At 34.1% G+C, this 16,794-nt stretch overlaps 1 long non-coding RNA gene across 1 annotated transcript in view; it reads left to right on the top strand.

The window, feature by feature from the left end:
- Positions 1-10,574, top strand: part of LOC105374832 (uncharacterized) — a 55,455-nt gene extending 44,881 nt beyond the window's left edge. The window contains exon 3 of the long non-coding RNA XR_940305.2: positions 10,472-10,574. This is a non-coding gene — a long non-coding RNA (uncharacterized LOC105374832). The remainder of the gene's footprint in view (positions 1-10,471) is intronic.

The raw sequence follows: 16,794 nt of genomic DNA, 5'->3' as shown, positions 1-16,794 counted from the left end.
AGTCTATTTTTATAGAAGTTGCCATCAGGTAATCTGGAAACTATTTAACAGGCATCAATCCTCCAAAATGCATAGCATGGTCCATAAGAATGGACATGATAAAAAGTATATTTTGTTTTAAAGAATACCCAATTTCCTCTTTATCGACCTGGTTATATATGTGAGTTAATCATCTAAAATTAAATATCAGATGTTGATCAATTAATAAATACCCAAATTTTTGTTTTTGTCTTTTCCAAAATTGTTAATTATTTTATTCTACCTATAATATTTTTTATGTAGAATCTCAAGTCAAGCAGATTGTGTAAAGTGGTTCTGTATATTAAGGTTGGACATAAATAAATTTTGTCTTTAAGCTGAACATTTTCAGTAGGGTGGAGCACCAGAATAATAAAATATTTATAATGTTAAACATCATTTGATCAACCTCTTTGCCAATATCCTCCAGTACTTTTTTGCTCTCTCAACCCAGCACTTTAAAACTCTGCAGGTCTATGTTTCAGCAATGCTGAGTTCAGATTGAGTCCTATTTTCTCTCTTTTATTGTAATATTCTTGAATAAAGACTTTCTTGCCTGTTTAATTTACTCCAGTGCAATTTCTGCTGTGACAGAACTAAACTAATAACAAGAGAAATCAACTAATTTTTACAAAGCTGTACAACTAGAAAGTGAAAGAGTCCAGGTCCATCTATGGTCTGAGTCCTAAAAATTCTATCGTTTTAGTTTTTCTTTTTAATTTTTTAATTAATCAAGGAAGTCACAAATGTATTCTTAGAAGTCTGTCTTTTCTATTAGTAAAAAGTAATAATAACAATTATACTAATAATTTATTTAAAATAACATTAATTTTATGAATGATAAAACTCTCAACATATTTTGAATCATCATCTGGGTGACCACTTGGTAACTGTGGTACAATTCTTTTTCCTTTTTTAGTTTATCATAAAGATGTCAGGAGTAATCAGGAAGGGAACATTAACATGTAACATTAACATGTAAATGATGCATTCACATCGAAAGGAGATGAAAGGATAATCTGGTGCACAGCATAAACTGAAGTTTTTTATTACCCTGTAGAGCTAAACAGTAGAAGCAGAGCATCACATGGCACAAGTTTGAGGCTCATCAAACTCCCAAAAAAAGTCACTGCCATTTAAATAACATTAAACACAACTAAAATAGAAAACGAATGTCACTAATTCAAAATTATTGATTCTGTAGTATTGTTTGTATATAAATTAAATGGGGGTATATGTAAAAAATAGAAATAATAATAATTTATATTGAAATTTGTATTTTTATGTGTTTAAACAAGTTCTGATTTAAAAAAACAGATGTAGGTCAAACTTGCCATTTCAGTTTAAAGAAAAAACAGTGCATTTACTCAAGCCAGAGAATATTATAATAAGGAACACAGGAAAGGGCAAATTCCCCCTTGGAAGAATAAAAGTAGAAAAATCATTATGGTGAACAGTTCTGCTTTATGGTTTGCTAAATAAAGAATTGCAATAATAAATAGACTACAAGTTTTAGAAAATATTTTGGAAGTTTAATTTTATCTGAAAATAAAAATAAATAAGGGAAAAAAGGAAGGAAGGAAGGAAGGAAGAGAGGGAGGGAGGGAAAAGAAAGGGCGGGAGGGAAGGGAAAGGAGAGAGCGAGGGAAGGAAGGAAGGAGGGAAGGAAGGAAAGGGAAAGGAGAGAGGAAGGAAGGAAGGAAAGAAGGAAGGAAGGAAGGAAAATGCACAGATAACAAAGGAAGAAAGTGATGGTATAAACATTCCACTGGATCTGATATACTGAATTATGCCTTTACCAAATTTTTATTTTTTATTTACAAATTTTTGCTTTATTTAGAACTAATTCAGATTGTTGTTGAAATAAACTGTAGTAATATAATAATAAGATTTATTCTATCCACTAAAATTAATTTGCAAATGAAATAAAGTATGAACAATCCTAAAACAGATGCACCAAAAGCTGATTTTTATCCTTCTCCTTATACTGTAGCACACAACTTACATTTAGTCTCCCAATACACAGTTTTTGATGAATTCTACCTTGATCTAATTATTTAATGTGAAGAAATATCACATTATGTAAATTCTGTTTTGCTGCCCTCAATTGTTTTCAAAATACAAAGATTATTAGATCAAATTAAATTTTTTTTTACAATTTACATATAGGCTATAAAGTATCATAAGAAAAGTTGAGAAATGAAAATTTTATATCAATCGTCTCATGCTCTATAATGGTATATTTAGATATATGCATAGAGACAAATATATACACATGTATATGACTAAAGCTGTGTATGTGTTTATACACATTTTAAAATAGATTTTTCTCCATTGAATTGACTCATTATATATCAATTTTTATTTTTTATAATTGCATCTCATGTCATTAATTGCAAACTTTAGTACAAAGTAAGAGCAATCTATCTCCAATGACCCCTCCCAAGCCAATATCTAAGCTTCAAGGTGATAAAACACAGAAAAACAGAGTAAAAAGAAACATCTTCAACCTAGCATCTTACTCCACCAAAGCTTTCACTGGTGAGTAACAGCGTTTAAAATTATATATTTTTTTCATATCAGTAAAGGATATTTACTGATCTCACAATCCTTTTTATATTGATCTACTTAGGTTTTGTTAAGACGTGAGTTTAAGTAGTTTCTAGAGTATTATATTGAAAGACTAAAATAAACATACATAGCACTGTCGTTTCATTTTCATTAGAAAATAATTTTCCACAGTTGCCTGTGCTTCCTTTAGTCACCCTAACACCCATTTATGTACAAATATGTACATTACATGTTTGTTTTGTTTGGTATAATAGTGATATTATGACTGTATTTATTGATCTGTGATGTTCCTTTCACTTAACACTACATTTCTGAAATCTTCATAAGCACTTTTTTTTTTTTTTTTTTTTGGAGACAGGGTCTCACTCTGCAATCCAGGCTGGAGTGCAATGACTTGATCTGGGCTCACAGCAACCTCCATCTCCCAGGCTCAAGTGATCCTCCCAACTCAGCCTTCTGAGTAGCTGGGACCAAATGCCTGTGCCACCATGTCTGTCTAATTGCTTTGTATTTTTAGTACAGACAAGGTCTCACTATGTTGCCCAGGCTGGTCACAAACTCCTGGACTCAACTGATCTGCCAAACTCAGCATCCTAAAGTGCTGGGATTGCAGGCGTGAGACAACGCACCCAGCCATAAGCACATTTTTTAAAGGCTTCAATTTTTAAAATATGGTTCTATAGTCTCATTTTTTTACTGTGGATATGTCTTTAGTAATTACTTTCTTTGAAAATATGACAACTTGATCATTCTGTTAACTTTCAGCATTTTTTCCTAAACTGAGGAAATCCAAATTTTCTTTTAAATATAATAGTAACTATGTCACATAAATTTAATGTGTCATCTTTTTAATTAATTTTAATTAGTAAAGATATTAACACTTTGATCATTCATGTTAAAATAATTTATCATAAGACTGTGAACAATAACTTCCATGAAATTAAGTCTCCTTTACAATAAACCTCACTTGTTCTTTATTATTCTTCAAAAATACTATAGAATTTTACTTACCAATATTTTATGCTAGGTATTTTTCAATGATGTCTATAATTTTTTCAGCTTTGTAATTTTTTAATTTAATGGAACTAGTTTTTCTAAAAGGGTATTTAGATTTATATCATCTTTTGTAATGTTTGGTAAAGCTAAAACCGTAATTTTTCTTGAATAATTTAATAATACAACCATAAAAATCTTCTGATACAAATCTGGTACATTTTTGGCATCATATTTTTTACAATGTTCTTAATTGATGCCGTTATTTTTAGTCCTTTAGGTATTTGTTTTTCAATCTCTTCTTGGGTCAACTGTATAAAAATGAGGATTAGAAGGTTGGCTTCAGCTTTGTCGGTATCAACATCCAAAGACCAAAGATTTTTGCAATGTTTTTCATAATGCTAACAAAAATATTGACTAAGAATATTATACCTTCTAAATTTATATCTGTAGCTAAAGGTAAAAGACTGACATTTTCAATGTGGAGAAGGTGAATGCTCTTTCTTACAACACCTATGAGGCCATTGGGGAAAAAAAATAAAACAAAACAAACTTCTTGTTCAAACCCTGATGGCGATGGTTGAGAAATGAATAGAGAAACCAAGTTAAAGGGACCGGCGGTGAGTATTGAAACCAGTTAAATGTAGAAATAAAACTAAAAATCAGTGAAAAATGTAATCATAGAAGTGAACTATTACAGATTTCAACAATGGCAGATTTAAAATGTAATTAACAAGTTTAGGTAGATGGAATATTTAGGAAGAAAGGTAAATTTGTCAATTCTTTAAATGTTCTTATAATTAGTAAATTTATATTATATTTAGAAATTAAGATTTTTTTAACACTGAAAAAAATAATTGAGAATTAGGAATATTAATGGGAAGTGGGGAGAAAAGTAATTGTTTCCCTTTCTTATAATACACTTAAGCGACAATTCTTCCAGTTTTTCTCTCTTCTCTAATTCAAGCAAGGAAAAACTAAAGGTAAAAGATCTTTCATAAGCTGGTTAATATTCGTATAGCTAGCAATTGCAGTTTTATTATTAAATATCAGGTATTCTTTCTTAATATTTTACTCATGTTTGAAAAACCTTTAATGCTATATAAAGGATTTCAACATTAAATATTTTATCCAATAAACCTATATTATCCTTTTTTTTTTTTTTTTTTTTTTTTGAGACGGAGTTTTCCTCCGTCATCCAGGCTGGAGTGGCAGTGGCAAGATCTCAATTCACTGCAACGTCCACCTTCTGGGTTCAAGTGATTATTCTGCCTCAGCCTACCAAATAGCAGGGATTACAGGTACCGCCACCATGCCCAGCTAATTTTTCTATTTTTAGTAGAGATGGAGTTTCACCATGTTGGTTGGGCTGGTCTTGAACTCTTGACCTCAAGAGAGCCGCCCACCTTGGCCTTTCAAACTGCTGGCATTACAGGCATGAGCCAGTGTGCCTGGCCTTGTTATCCATTATTTATAATAAAATTTTGAAATTTTAATTATTGATTCACAATTATAACTAAGGTGAATTAAGTTGAATTGAACCAATAGCGTTTACCCTTCTTTGATAAATTAAAATAATCAATGGCTCAATAACAATATAGCAGTATAGAAAACATTGATATACAGGCCTACCTATTGAAATTTTCAGAGTAAATTAATTGAGCAGTATACTCTCCTTACTTGAGATAGAAGATCCTAAATATATCTGGTGAAGTTTTGATGTTTTGTAACAACTTTCATACTTATAATCTCAGATGAATAAAGCATATTATTCAAAGTCAAATAGCATTTGTAGGCAGAGAAAAAAACCAGAATCTTGATTTTCTGGCTCCAGTTTTAGGCTCTTTTCAAGAGGGTGTAAAACATTTTTGAAGCAAGTACATACACACGCAAACGTATACACTTATGTTTATATCTGTGTGTATGTGTATATATGTGTGTATGTGTGTAAAGGAGTACATACACACACATACATACACATACACACATATATACATACCCAATATACAAGCACACATATATACACATGAATAGAGAAACCACATCTATATATGTGTATATGTGTGTGTATATGTGTACATATAGATAAGTGTGTATGTGTATATGTGTGTGTATGTGTGTGTATGTATATATGTGTGTATGTGTATGTGTGTGTGTGTTTATGTGTGTACTCCCTTCAAATTCCCCTCAAGTGTCTTGTTATTTTAAAATATATATTATATATACATATATGCATGTATATATTATACATACATGCATATGCATGTATATATTATACATACATGCATATGCATGTATATATTATGCATACATGCATATGCATGTATATATTATGCATACATGCATGTATGTATATATTATGCATACATGCGTGTATGTATATATAATGCATACATACATGTATGTATATATAATGCATACATACGTGTATGTATATATAATGCATACATACGTGTATGTATATATAATGCATACATACGTGTATGTATATATTATACATACATACGTGTATGTATATATTATACATACATACGTGTATGTATATATTATACATACACGTATGTATGTATAATATATACATACACGTATGTATGTATATATCAGTTTGTTCTCACACTATAGAGAGACTACCAGAGACTGAGTAATTTATAAAGGAAAGAGGTTAATTGACTCACAGTTCCACATGGCTGCGAAGGCAGCTTCAAGTAACTTACAGTCACGGCAGTAGAGAAAGTAGGCACGTCTTACACAGTGGTGGGAGAGAGAGCAAGTGCGTGAAGGAGGAAATGTCAGACACTTATAAAACCATCAGATCTCATGAGAACTCACTATCATGAGAACAGCATGGGAGACACTGCCCCCATGATCTAATCACCTCCCAGCAGGTCTCTCAACACATGGAAATTATGGGGATTACAATTCAAGATGAGATTTGGGTGGGAGACACAAATTCTAACCATATCTATGTCTACATCTATATGTGTATATCTATTTTTATTTATTTTCAAAATGAAAAAGCTAACTATCATTCTGTGGGTGATACCTCTGATATTGGCTATGTTGACAAAGATATATTCATTTCTATTTACAGGGACATCCTTCCTTAAGAGTCTAAATTCTTGCCTGCTGTGACAGAGAAACACAAAGACAATGATAATAATCTAGCAATCTCTTCCAACCATCAGGTGCACATTTTGCATCAAATATTGAGACTTATCTTGATAATAGGACCACCCTAACTTTATAAGTACTGTCACATTTAATATCATTCTATGCTTCCATGACTTGCTAATATAATCTCAAATAGAATAACAATCATGGTGACTCTTCAGGTTCTATTATTCTATATTAAACTCAAAAGCAAAAGTTAAAGTACTTAAATTTTTTAAAAAAGTAATTGAACTCAGTTTTCTGCAAGTAATATCTAATGTGCCAAAACAATTCATATATGAGAGAATGTTTCAAAGGAAACCAGAAACACATAGTCATAGGCAGAAATTCACATATAATTTTATCATTTTTGTTAAAACTGTTATCAATAATTAATAATTATTGCTAGACCTGGGTGAATAGGAAAGTGTATAATGTTACTTCCACTGTGATACTGCCTTCAAATGTTCTGTTGTTTCACAATATTATCCCTTTTCATATGCCATCTTTAAAAAATAATGTTTTTCAGTGAAAGAACCACCTGGAAACTTCTCTATGTAAAGGAACCACCTTTCTTCCGTCGTCGTCCTCTCAGTCTTAGTTAAATGATAACCATTCTTTCATCCCCGATTGTGCTGCCTCTAGTTTGTGGTGAATTTAAGACATTCCCTGAACTAACTATGTGCCTTCCTCCCCCATCCCCAAATGAGACTGAGTGAATATTCAGTGATCAAAACTTCTGAACACTCTGAGTGGGTTTCAGAGGGCATAGTACATAATTTCCTTCCATATGCAAATAGTGTTAAAACAGCTCTGGCACTCAGATGGAGCTCAAGAAAAACTTGTAGAAGTGAATAATCATTTTAATAGTGAGTCACTGTACTTAAAGAGATGTTCCAATTCCCCTCCTTCTCTTTATGACATCTAGTTAATTAATTAAATGGAGCTATACAATCTATTGATCTAATGATTCTTGTGAGAACCTTATTTCAATCAATTTCAGAATGGACAACCATTTATTAATTGACTCATTCATTCAATATTCTATTATTTATCTTCACCATATGTCACTAGAATGTCTTAGGGAAAGACATATTTCCTCATATTATTTTATTCTTCTACCATTTCAAAGGCATAGAGACATCTACTCTATGCTGTGTCTTAGCCAAAATGTCTCTTCTATTTCTGCCTCAATTGCTGCATCTCCTCCCAGCAAACACACTCCTTGTTGCAAAAGTTGCCAGGTATAAATTTTTAGCTTCCCATTTCAGTTTATTTAAAATATGGAAAACCAATTGGAAATGTCATTCTTATTACACTATTTGCCGACGAATTTAAGTTAATTTGACCCATGTAAAAAATGGCAATAACATTCAGATGTGCAACCTGGCAGTTAAACAAATTTTGCAGAGCTGGTTTATACCTGGTCCTTAATAACTGACATAGGCTACCACATTTTGGATTTGTTTTTTCCCATAAAATTGAACAGAGCCATAATTTCTTGTTTTTAGAGTTTTATCATTCTGTTTCTAAAATTCCTTAAATATACAAGATGAAAGTACAAGATCTCGATTGTTATACTAATAATCTCTCTCCTCTGTCATTGTCTCATGTTTTTCTGTTGTTTAACAGAACATTTCAAAACAGTTGATATTCCTTACTGTTTATAATAAAACAAAATATATTTACCCTGTTTCTCAAACCTTCTTCTGAATTGTCACCTGGTTCAATCAAAATTATAACCAAAATGAGCTTCAGATTTTCCTCTTCATTTTATTTCTGCTCTATTTGGAGAGCGCTATGCTCTCTTTATCTTTCAGTTATAACAGCATCATAGATGTCTAACCTAAGCCTGGTTTCTCTCTTTACTTTTATATAGCAATAGTCATTAAAGTCCCTGTTATAAGTCACTATACTTTAGAAATTTAAGGACTATTAACTTATTATTGCTTTCCAGAGAATCCAAAATAATTATACAGTGTCCTATCTTCCCTCTTCCCATATCCCCACAGTATTTTGTAGGATATTTTTTGTTTATTTTATTTCTTAACAATCTTGACTGTTTTGGGTACATACATAGGGATTATTTCCCTTATGTAATATGCTAATAACATTCTACATTTTACCATAAATATGTCATAAAATACCACATCTTTCTGTTTCTTTTTTTTTTTTGAAGAATTAGATCTATTTTATTCATTTACTTGGCAAGTTCAGGCTAGTTTTCATTATAATATTACTACAACTTTTTAAAAATTTTTACCTTAAGTTGTGGGATACATGTGCAGAATGTGCAGGTTTGTTACATAGGTCTACATGTGCCATGGTGGTATGCTGCACCTTTCAACCTGTCATCTAGGTTTTAAGCCCCTGGTGCATCAGATATTTGTTCTAATGCTCTCCCTCCCCTTTGCCCCACCTCCCAACAGCCTCCAGTGTGTGATGTTCCCCTCCTGTGGCCATGTGTTCTCATTGCTCAACTCCCACTTATGAATGAGAACATGCAGTGTTTGGTTTTCTGTTCCTGTGTTAGTTTGATGAGGATGATGGTTTCCAGCTTCATCCATGTCCCTGCAAAGGACGTGAACTCATTCTTTTCTATGGTTGCATAGTATTCCATGGTGTATATGTGTCACATTTTCTTTATCCAGTCTATCATTGATGGGCTTTCGGGTTGGTTCCAAGTCTTTGCTATTGTGAATAGTGCTGCAATAAATATAAGTGTGCATATGACTTTATAGTGTAATGATTTATAATCCTTTGGGTATATACCCAGTAATGGGATTGCTGGGTCAAATGGTATTTCTGGTTCTAGATCCTTGAGGAATCGCCACACTGTCTTCCACAATGGTTGAACTAATTTACACTGCCACCAACAGTGGAAAAGCATTCCTATTTCTCCACAGCCTCACCAGCATCTGGAGAAATGCAAATCTTTCTGTTTTTTCTTTTAAAGGCATTTGTGAGGCTTTTTATTTTAGGTATATTAACTATCAAATTTGGTGAGTGGCTTATCTGTTGATTTTCACTGGTTGATTGTTTACCGTATGGTCCTTGAATATAACTGTTTGTTCCAAACTTTTTGAGGACATCATTGGTAACATGTGCCACAGAGCTTGTTCTTTGCTTTGGTAACACTCAGTTTGTCACCTACAGTATAATCTTCACTTAAACACACTTAATGCTTATCATACACAAAGTGGCATATGGCATATTTATAGATACCAATATGCTGTCTACAGGCTGTAAGATTTTCAAGTTTTTGGCTAGACACAAATTTTCAAACATTGTCACATTCTGCTATGATTCTTTTTCCTTTACTGCAGATCTCATGTGATCAGATGATAAACATGTAATGCATTAGCTATTCCTGTACACAATGATAGATGGGGATTTGGGAGAGGATGTTCCACCTCATCGAAAAGGATAGTTTTAACACCAACACTACCAGTACATGATGATAATTAAAAAGAAGCCAGTTTTTAGTTTTATCATTGTTTTTAAATTCCCTAACAATGTACTTTTTCCTTGTCTATACCTGAGGTGGACCTTATCTACCCTTGCTTTCATTGAGCCACAGCCAGACTATAATGTTTGTCTTACTATTAGTATTTTAGTCACTTCTTCACTCTGTTCGTGAGGTATGGATTTCTACCTGAAGGCTATGGAGATAGCCCAACACATTGCACCTGATGCTGGACAAATGAGAATGACAGCAATTTATTTCTCACACACACAGCCTGGGGCAAGACAACACCAAATGCCACACAGGAAAACATGAAGGTTGCATTTTGGAAACAGAGTGAAGCTGGAGTTTGGGAAGGCAGATTTGCAGTATCAAGAAGGTGAGGTGTTATTTAGTTCCCATGGGAGGATATAATAGGTTAGTTTGCATAATTCTGTGGGCTGGCAAAAAACTGACACCTGCTACTCAGGAATAATCAGGAACTGTGCCTGGTCCCTTTGATAAAGAGGGCTTTTTGGCGGGAGATCTTGCCCAAGGAAGCAGAGTGGAGAGGGGAATTTGTGGCCAGGCCATTTGAAGCTCTCTGTTTTACCAATTTTACTTGACAGCACATAATATTAAGCTTTAATTTTAGGACTCAAAACACAATGAGGAATCAAAAAGTTTCTGAAGATAAAATTTTTTGAGATTCCTGTTACACTTAATAGCTGTGTAATAAAATAAAATTAAATATTTTATTAATATTATTGATAGATATCTGAAGTTTATTGATTCATCAGTATTAACCAATTTTTTATCATAATAATAAATATTACAATTATGAGTTTCAGGTCATTGTTACCTAATAAATGTGTCATCTACTTGTAAAAAAATTTTAAATCTTATTTATGTTTTTATTCTTTATTTTGAGATCATTAAATTTTATTTTATTTATTTATTTATTTTTTCAACTTTTATTTTAAGTTCTGGGGTACATGTGCAGGATGTGCAGGTTTGTTACACAGGTAAACATGTGTCAGGGTGGTTTGCGCACAGATCAACCCATCGCCTAGGTAAAGCCCAGCAGCCATTAACTATTCTTCTAGACACTTTCCCTGCATGCCCTCCCCAACTGGCCCCAATGTGTATTGTTCCCCCGACAAGTGTTCATATGTTCTTATCCTTCAGCTCCCACTTATAAGTGAGAACATGCTGTGTTTGGTTTTCTATTCTTGCATTAGTTTGCTGAGGATAACGACTTCCAGCTCCATCCATGTCCCTGCAAAAACATGATCTCATTCCTTTTTGTAGCTGCCTAGTATTCCATGGTGCATATGTACCATATTTTCTTTATCCAGTCTATCATGGATGGTCATTTGGGTTGATTCCATGTCTTTGCTATTGTGAATAGTGTTGCAATGAATGTACATCTTTATAATAGAATGATTTTGATTCCTTTGGGTAATGAGATTGCTGGGTCAAATGGTATTTCTGGTCTAGATTTTTGAGGAATTGCCACACCGTCTTCCACAATGGTTAAACCAACCAACAGGATAAAAGTGTTCCTTTTTTCTCTGCAACCTTGCAAGCATCTGTTGTTTCTTTACTTTTTAATAATCACCATTCTGACTGGTGTGAGATGGTATATCATTCGTGGTTTTGATTTGCGTTTCTCTAATTATCAGTGATGTTGAGCTTTTTCTGATGTGTTTGTTGGCCATATGAATGTCTTCTTTTGAGAAGTGTCTGCCTGTTCATGTCCTTTACCCACTTTTTAATTTTTTTTTTCTTTTCTGGTAAATTTCTTTAAGTTCCTTGTAGATTCTGGATACTAGGCCTTTGTCAGATGGTTAGATTGAAAAAATTTTCTCCCATTCTGTAGGTTGTTTTTTTACTCTGATGGTAGTTTTTTGTGCTGTGAAGAAGCTCTTTAGTTTAATTAGATCTCATTTGTCAATCTTTGCTTTTGTTGCAATTGCTTTTGGTGTTTTGTCACAAAATCTTTGGCTGTGCTTATGTCCTAAATGGTGCTGCTTAGGTTTTCTTCTAGGGTTTTTATGGTTTGGGGTTTTACATTGAAATCTTTAATCCATCTTGAGTTAATTTTTGTATAAGGTGTAAGGAAGGGGTCCAGTTTCAATTTTCTGCATATGGCTAGTCAGTTCTCCTAGACCCATTTATTAAATAGAGAATCCTTTTCCCATTGCTTGTTTTTGTCAGGTTTGTCAAAGATCAGATGGGTGTAGGTGTTCAGTCTTATTTCTGAGTTATCTATTATGTTCGATTCGTCTATTTGTCTGTTTTTCTACCAGTACAATGCTGTTTTGTTTACTGTAGCCTAGTAGTATAGTTTGAAGTTGTGTAGCGTGATGTCTCCAGCTTTGTTCTTTTTGCTTAGGATTGTCTTGGCTATACAGGTTCTTTTTTGATTACGTATGAATTTTAACATGTTTTTTTTTTCTAATTGTGTGAAGAACGTCAATGTTAGTTTAATGGGAATAGCATTGAATCTATAAATTACCTTGGGCAATACATCCATTTTTACAGTATGGATTCTTCCTGTCCATGAGCATGGAAAGTGTTTCCATTTGTTTGTGTCCTCTCTGATTTCCTTGAGCAGTGGTTTGTAGTTCTCCTTGAAGAGGTCCTTTGTTTCCCTTTTCAGCTATATTTCTAGGTGTTTTATTCTCTTCATAGTAATTGTGAGTGGGAGCTCATTCATGATTTGCCACTCAGCTGGACTGTTGTTAATACATACATAGGAATGCTAGTGATATTTGCACATTGACTTTGTATCCGGAGACTTTGTTGAAGTTGCTTATCCGTTTAAGGAGTTTACAGGCTAAGACAATTGGGTTTTCTAGATATAAGATGATGTCATCTGCAAACAAAGATAATTTGACTTCCTCTCTTCCTATTTGAACATGCTTTATTTCTTTCTCTTGCCTCATTGCCCTGGCCAGAACTTCCAGTACTATGTTGAATGGAGTGGTGACAGAAGGCAGATTTTTCTTGTGCCAGTTTTCAAGGGGAATGCTTCCAGCTTTTGCCCATTCAGTATGATATTGGTTGTGTTTTTTTTCATATATGGCTGTTACTATTTTGAGGCATGTTCCTTCAATACCTAGTTTCTTAAAAGTTTGTAACATGAAGCGATGTTGAATTTTATTGAAGGCTTTTCTGTATCTACTAAGATAACCATGTGGTTTTTGCTTTAGTTCTGTCTATGTAATGAACTACATTTATTGATTTCCATATGTTGAACCAATCTTGCATCCTGGGGATGAAGCTGACTTGATCATGGTGGATAAGCTTTTTGATGTGCTGCTACATTTGATTTGCCAGTGTTTTATTGAGGATTTTTGCATTGATGCTCATCAGGGATGTTGGCCTGAATGAAGTTTTTGTTGTTGTTGTTGTTGTATCTCTGCCAGGTTTTGGCATCAGGATGATGCTGGCCTCATAAAATGAGTTACGGGAGAGTCCCTCCTTTTCAGTTGTTTGCAATAGTTTCAGGAGAAATGCTACCAGTTCCTCTTTGTACCTCTGGTAGAAGTCAGCTGTAAATATGTCTGTTTCTGGGCTTTTGAGCTAGTAGGCTATTTATTACTGCCTCAATTTCAGAACTTATTATTGACTGATTTAGGGATTCAGTTTCTTCCTGGTTTAGTCTTGGTGGAGTGTAATGCCTCCAGAAATTTATCACTTTCTTCTAGATTTTCTGGTTTGTTTGCATAGAGGTTATTACAGTATTCTCTGAGCATTGACTGTATTCCTGTGGGGTCACTGGTGATATCCCCCTTATCGTTTCTGATTGTGTCTATTTGATTCTTCTCTCTTTTCTCCTTTATTAGTTCAGCCAGTGTTCTTTTATTAGTATTTTTCAAAAAAAAGCTTCTTTATTCATTCATTTTTTGAAGGGTTTTTCATGTCTCTGTCTGCTTCACTTCCACTCTGATCTTGGTTATTTCATGTCTTATGCTAGCTTTGGGGTTTGTTTGCTCTTGATTCTCCAGTTCTTATAGTTGTGATGTTAGGTTGTCAACTTGAGATCTTTCTAGCTTTTCAATGTAGACATTTAGTGCTGTAAATTTCCCTCTTAACACTGCTTTAGCTGCATCACAGATATTCTGGTACATTGTTTTTCTGTTCTTATTAGTTTCAAATAACTTCTTGATTGGTTCCTTAATTTCATTATTTACCCAGGAGTCATAGAAGAGCATGTTGTTCCATTTCCATGTAGTTCTGTGGTTTTGAGTGAGTTTCTTAATCTTGAGTTCTAATTTGATTGTGCTGTAGTCTGAGCTACTCTTGGTTATGATTTCACTTCTTTTGCATTTGCTGAGGAGTGTTTTACTTCCAATTATGTGACCAATTTTAGAGAGTCACATGGTTATAAGAAGAATGCATATTCTGTTGTCTTTAGATAAAGAGTTCTGTAGTGATCTATCAGGTCCACTTGATCTAGAGTTCAGTTCAAGTCCTGAATATCTTTGTTAATTTTCTGCCTCAGTGATCTGTCTAATACTGTCAGTGGGGTGGTAAAGACTCCCACTATTATTGTCTTTGTTACTTTTCTGTCTCAATGATCTGTCTAATATTGTCAGTGGGGTGCTAAAGTGTCCCACTATTATTGTATGGGAGTCAAAGTCTCTTCGTAGGTCTCTAAGAATTTGCTTTATGAATCTGGGTGCTCCTGTGTTAAATGCATATATATTTAGTTAGTTCTTCTTGTTGAATTGAACTCTTTACCATTATGTAATGCCCTTCTTTGTCTTTTGTGATCTTTGTTTGTTTAATGTCTGTTTTTTCAGGAACTAGGATTGCAACCCCATCTCTTTTCTGCTTTCCAATTGCCTGGTAAAATTTCCACCATCATGGCTTTATTTTGAGTCTATGTGTGTCTTTGCATGTGAGATGGGCCAATTCTTGAATACAATATATCAACGGGTCTTGACTCTTTATCCAGCTTGTCATTCTGTATCTTTTAATTGGGGCATTTAGCCCATTGATATTTAAGGTTAATCCTGTCATTATAATGCTGGCTGGTTATTTTGCAGATTTGTTTATGTAGTTAATTCATAATGTCACTGATCTGTGTACTTCAGTATGCTTTTTTAGTGGCTGGTAATGTTATTTTTCTTTCCATATTTAGTGCTTCCTTCAGGATCTCTTGCAACACAGGCCTAGTGGAGATGAATTCCCTCAGCATTTGATTTTCTAAAAAGGATTTTATTTCTCCTTCATTTATGAAGCTTAGTTTACCCAGATATGAAACTCTAAGTTGGAAAATCTTTTCTTTAAGATTGTTCAATATGGCTCTCAATCTCTTCTGGCTTGTAGGGTTTCTGCTGAGAGTTTTGCTTTTATTCTGATGGTCTTTCCTTTGTAGGTTACCTAGCCTTTGTCTCTGGCTGCCTTTAACATTTTTTCTTTATTTTGACTTTGGAGAATCTGAAGATTATGTGTCTTGGGGTTGATCTTCTCATGGAGTATCTTACTTGGGTTCTCTGGATTTCCTGAGTTTGAATGTTGGCCTGTCTTGCTAGGTTGGGGGAATTCTCCTGGATAATATCCTGATGCATGTTTTCCAACTTGGTTCCTTTCTCCCCATCTCTTTAAGTTACCCCAATCAGTCATAGGTTCGGTCTTTTTACATAATCCCATAATTCTCGGAGGTTTTGTTCATTTCTTTTTATTATTTTTTCCCTATTCTTGTCTGCCTGTCTTATTTCAGGAAGATAGTCTTCAAGCTCTGAGATTCTTTCCTCTCCTTAATCTAATCAGCTATTAATACTTGTGACTGCATTGTAAAGTTTTTGTGTTGTGTTTTTCATCTCCATCAGGCCATTTATGTTCCTCTGTAAATGAGCTAGTCTGGTTACAAGTTCATGTAATTTTTTTATCATGATTATTAGCTTCTTTGCATTGGGTTAGAATATGCTCCCATAGTTTAGTGAAGTTCATTATTACCCACCTTCTGAAGCCTACTCTGTCAATCCAGCCATCTCATCTCCAGATGAATTCTGTGCCCTTGCTGGAGAGGTGTTGCAATCATTTGGAGAAGAAGACGCACCCTGGATTTTTGAGTTTTAGGATTTTTGTGTTGATTCTTTTTCATCTTTGTGGGCTTCTCTCCCTTTAGTCTTTGAGGTTGCTGCCCTTTGAATAGGGTTTTTGTTAATGTTGTCTTTCTTTTCTTTTCTTTTCTTTTCCTTCCTTCTTTTCTTTCTTTCTTTCTTTCTTTCTTTCTTTCTTTCTTTCTTTCTTTCTTCCTTCCTTCCTTCCTTCCTTCCTTCCTTTTCTTTCTTTTTCTTTTTCTTTTTTTCTGTCAGGCTCCTCTTCTGTAGGGTTGCTGCAGTTTGCTGTGGGTCCTTTCCAGACCCTAATCACCAGGGTCCTTCCTGCACCTGGAAGTATCACCTGTGGAGGCTACAAAACAGCAAAGACGGCAGCCTGCTCCTTCCTCTGGGAGCTCCATTCCAGAGGGGCACTGATCTGATACCGGCCGTAATGTTCCTGTAGGAGGTGTCTAGAGACCCCTTTTGGGAGGTCTCACCCAGTCAGGAGGAACACGATCAGGGACCCACCTAAAAAACCAATCTGGCTGTCCCTTG

Source organism: Homo sapiens, chromosome 2 (genome assembly GCF_000001405.40).
Source record: "Homo sapiens chromosome 2, GRCh38.p14 Primary Assembly".
Lineage (NCBI taxonomy): Eukaryota > Metazoa > Chordata > Mammalia > Primates > Hominidae > Homo > Homo sapiens.
Note: the sequence above shows the minus strand (reverse complement) of the source record. Positions and strands in the feature narration are given on the sequence as shown.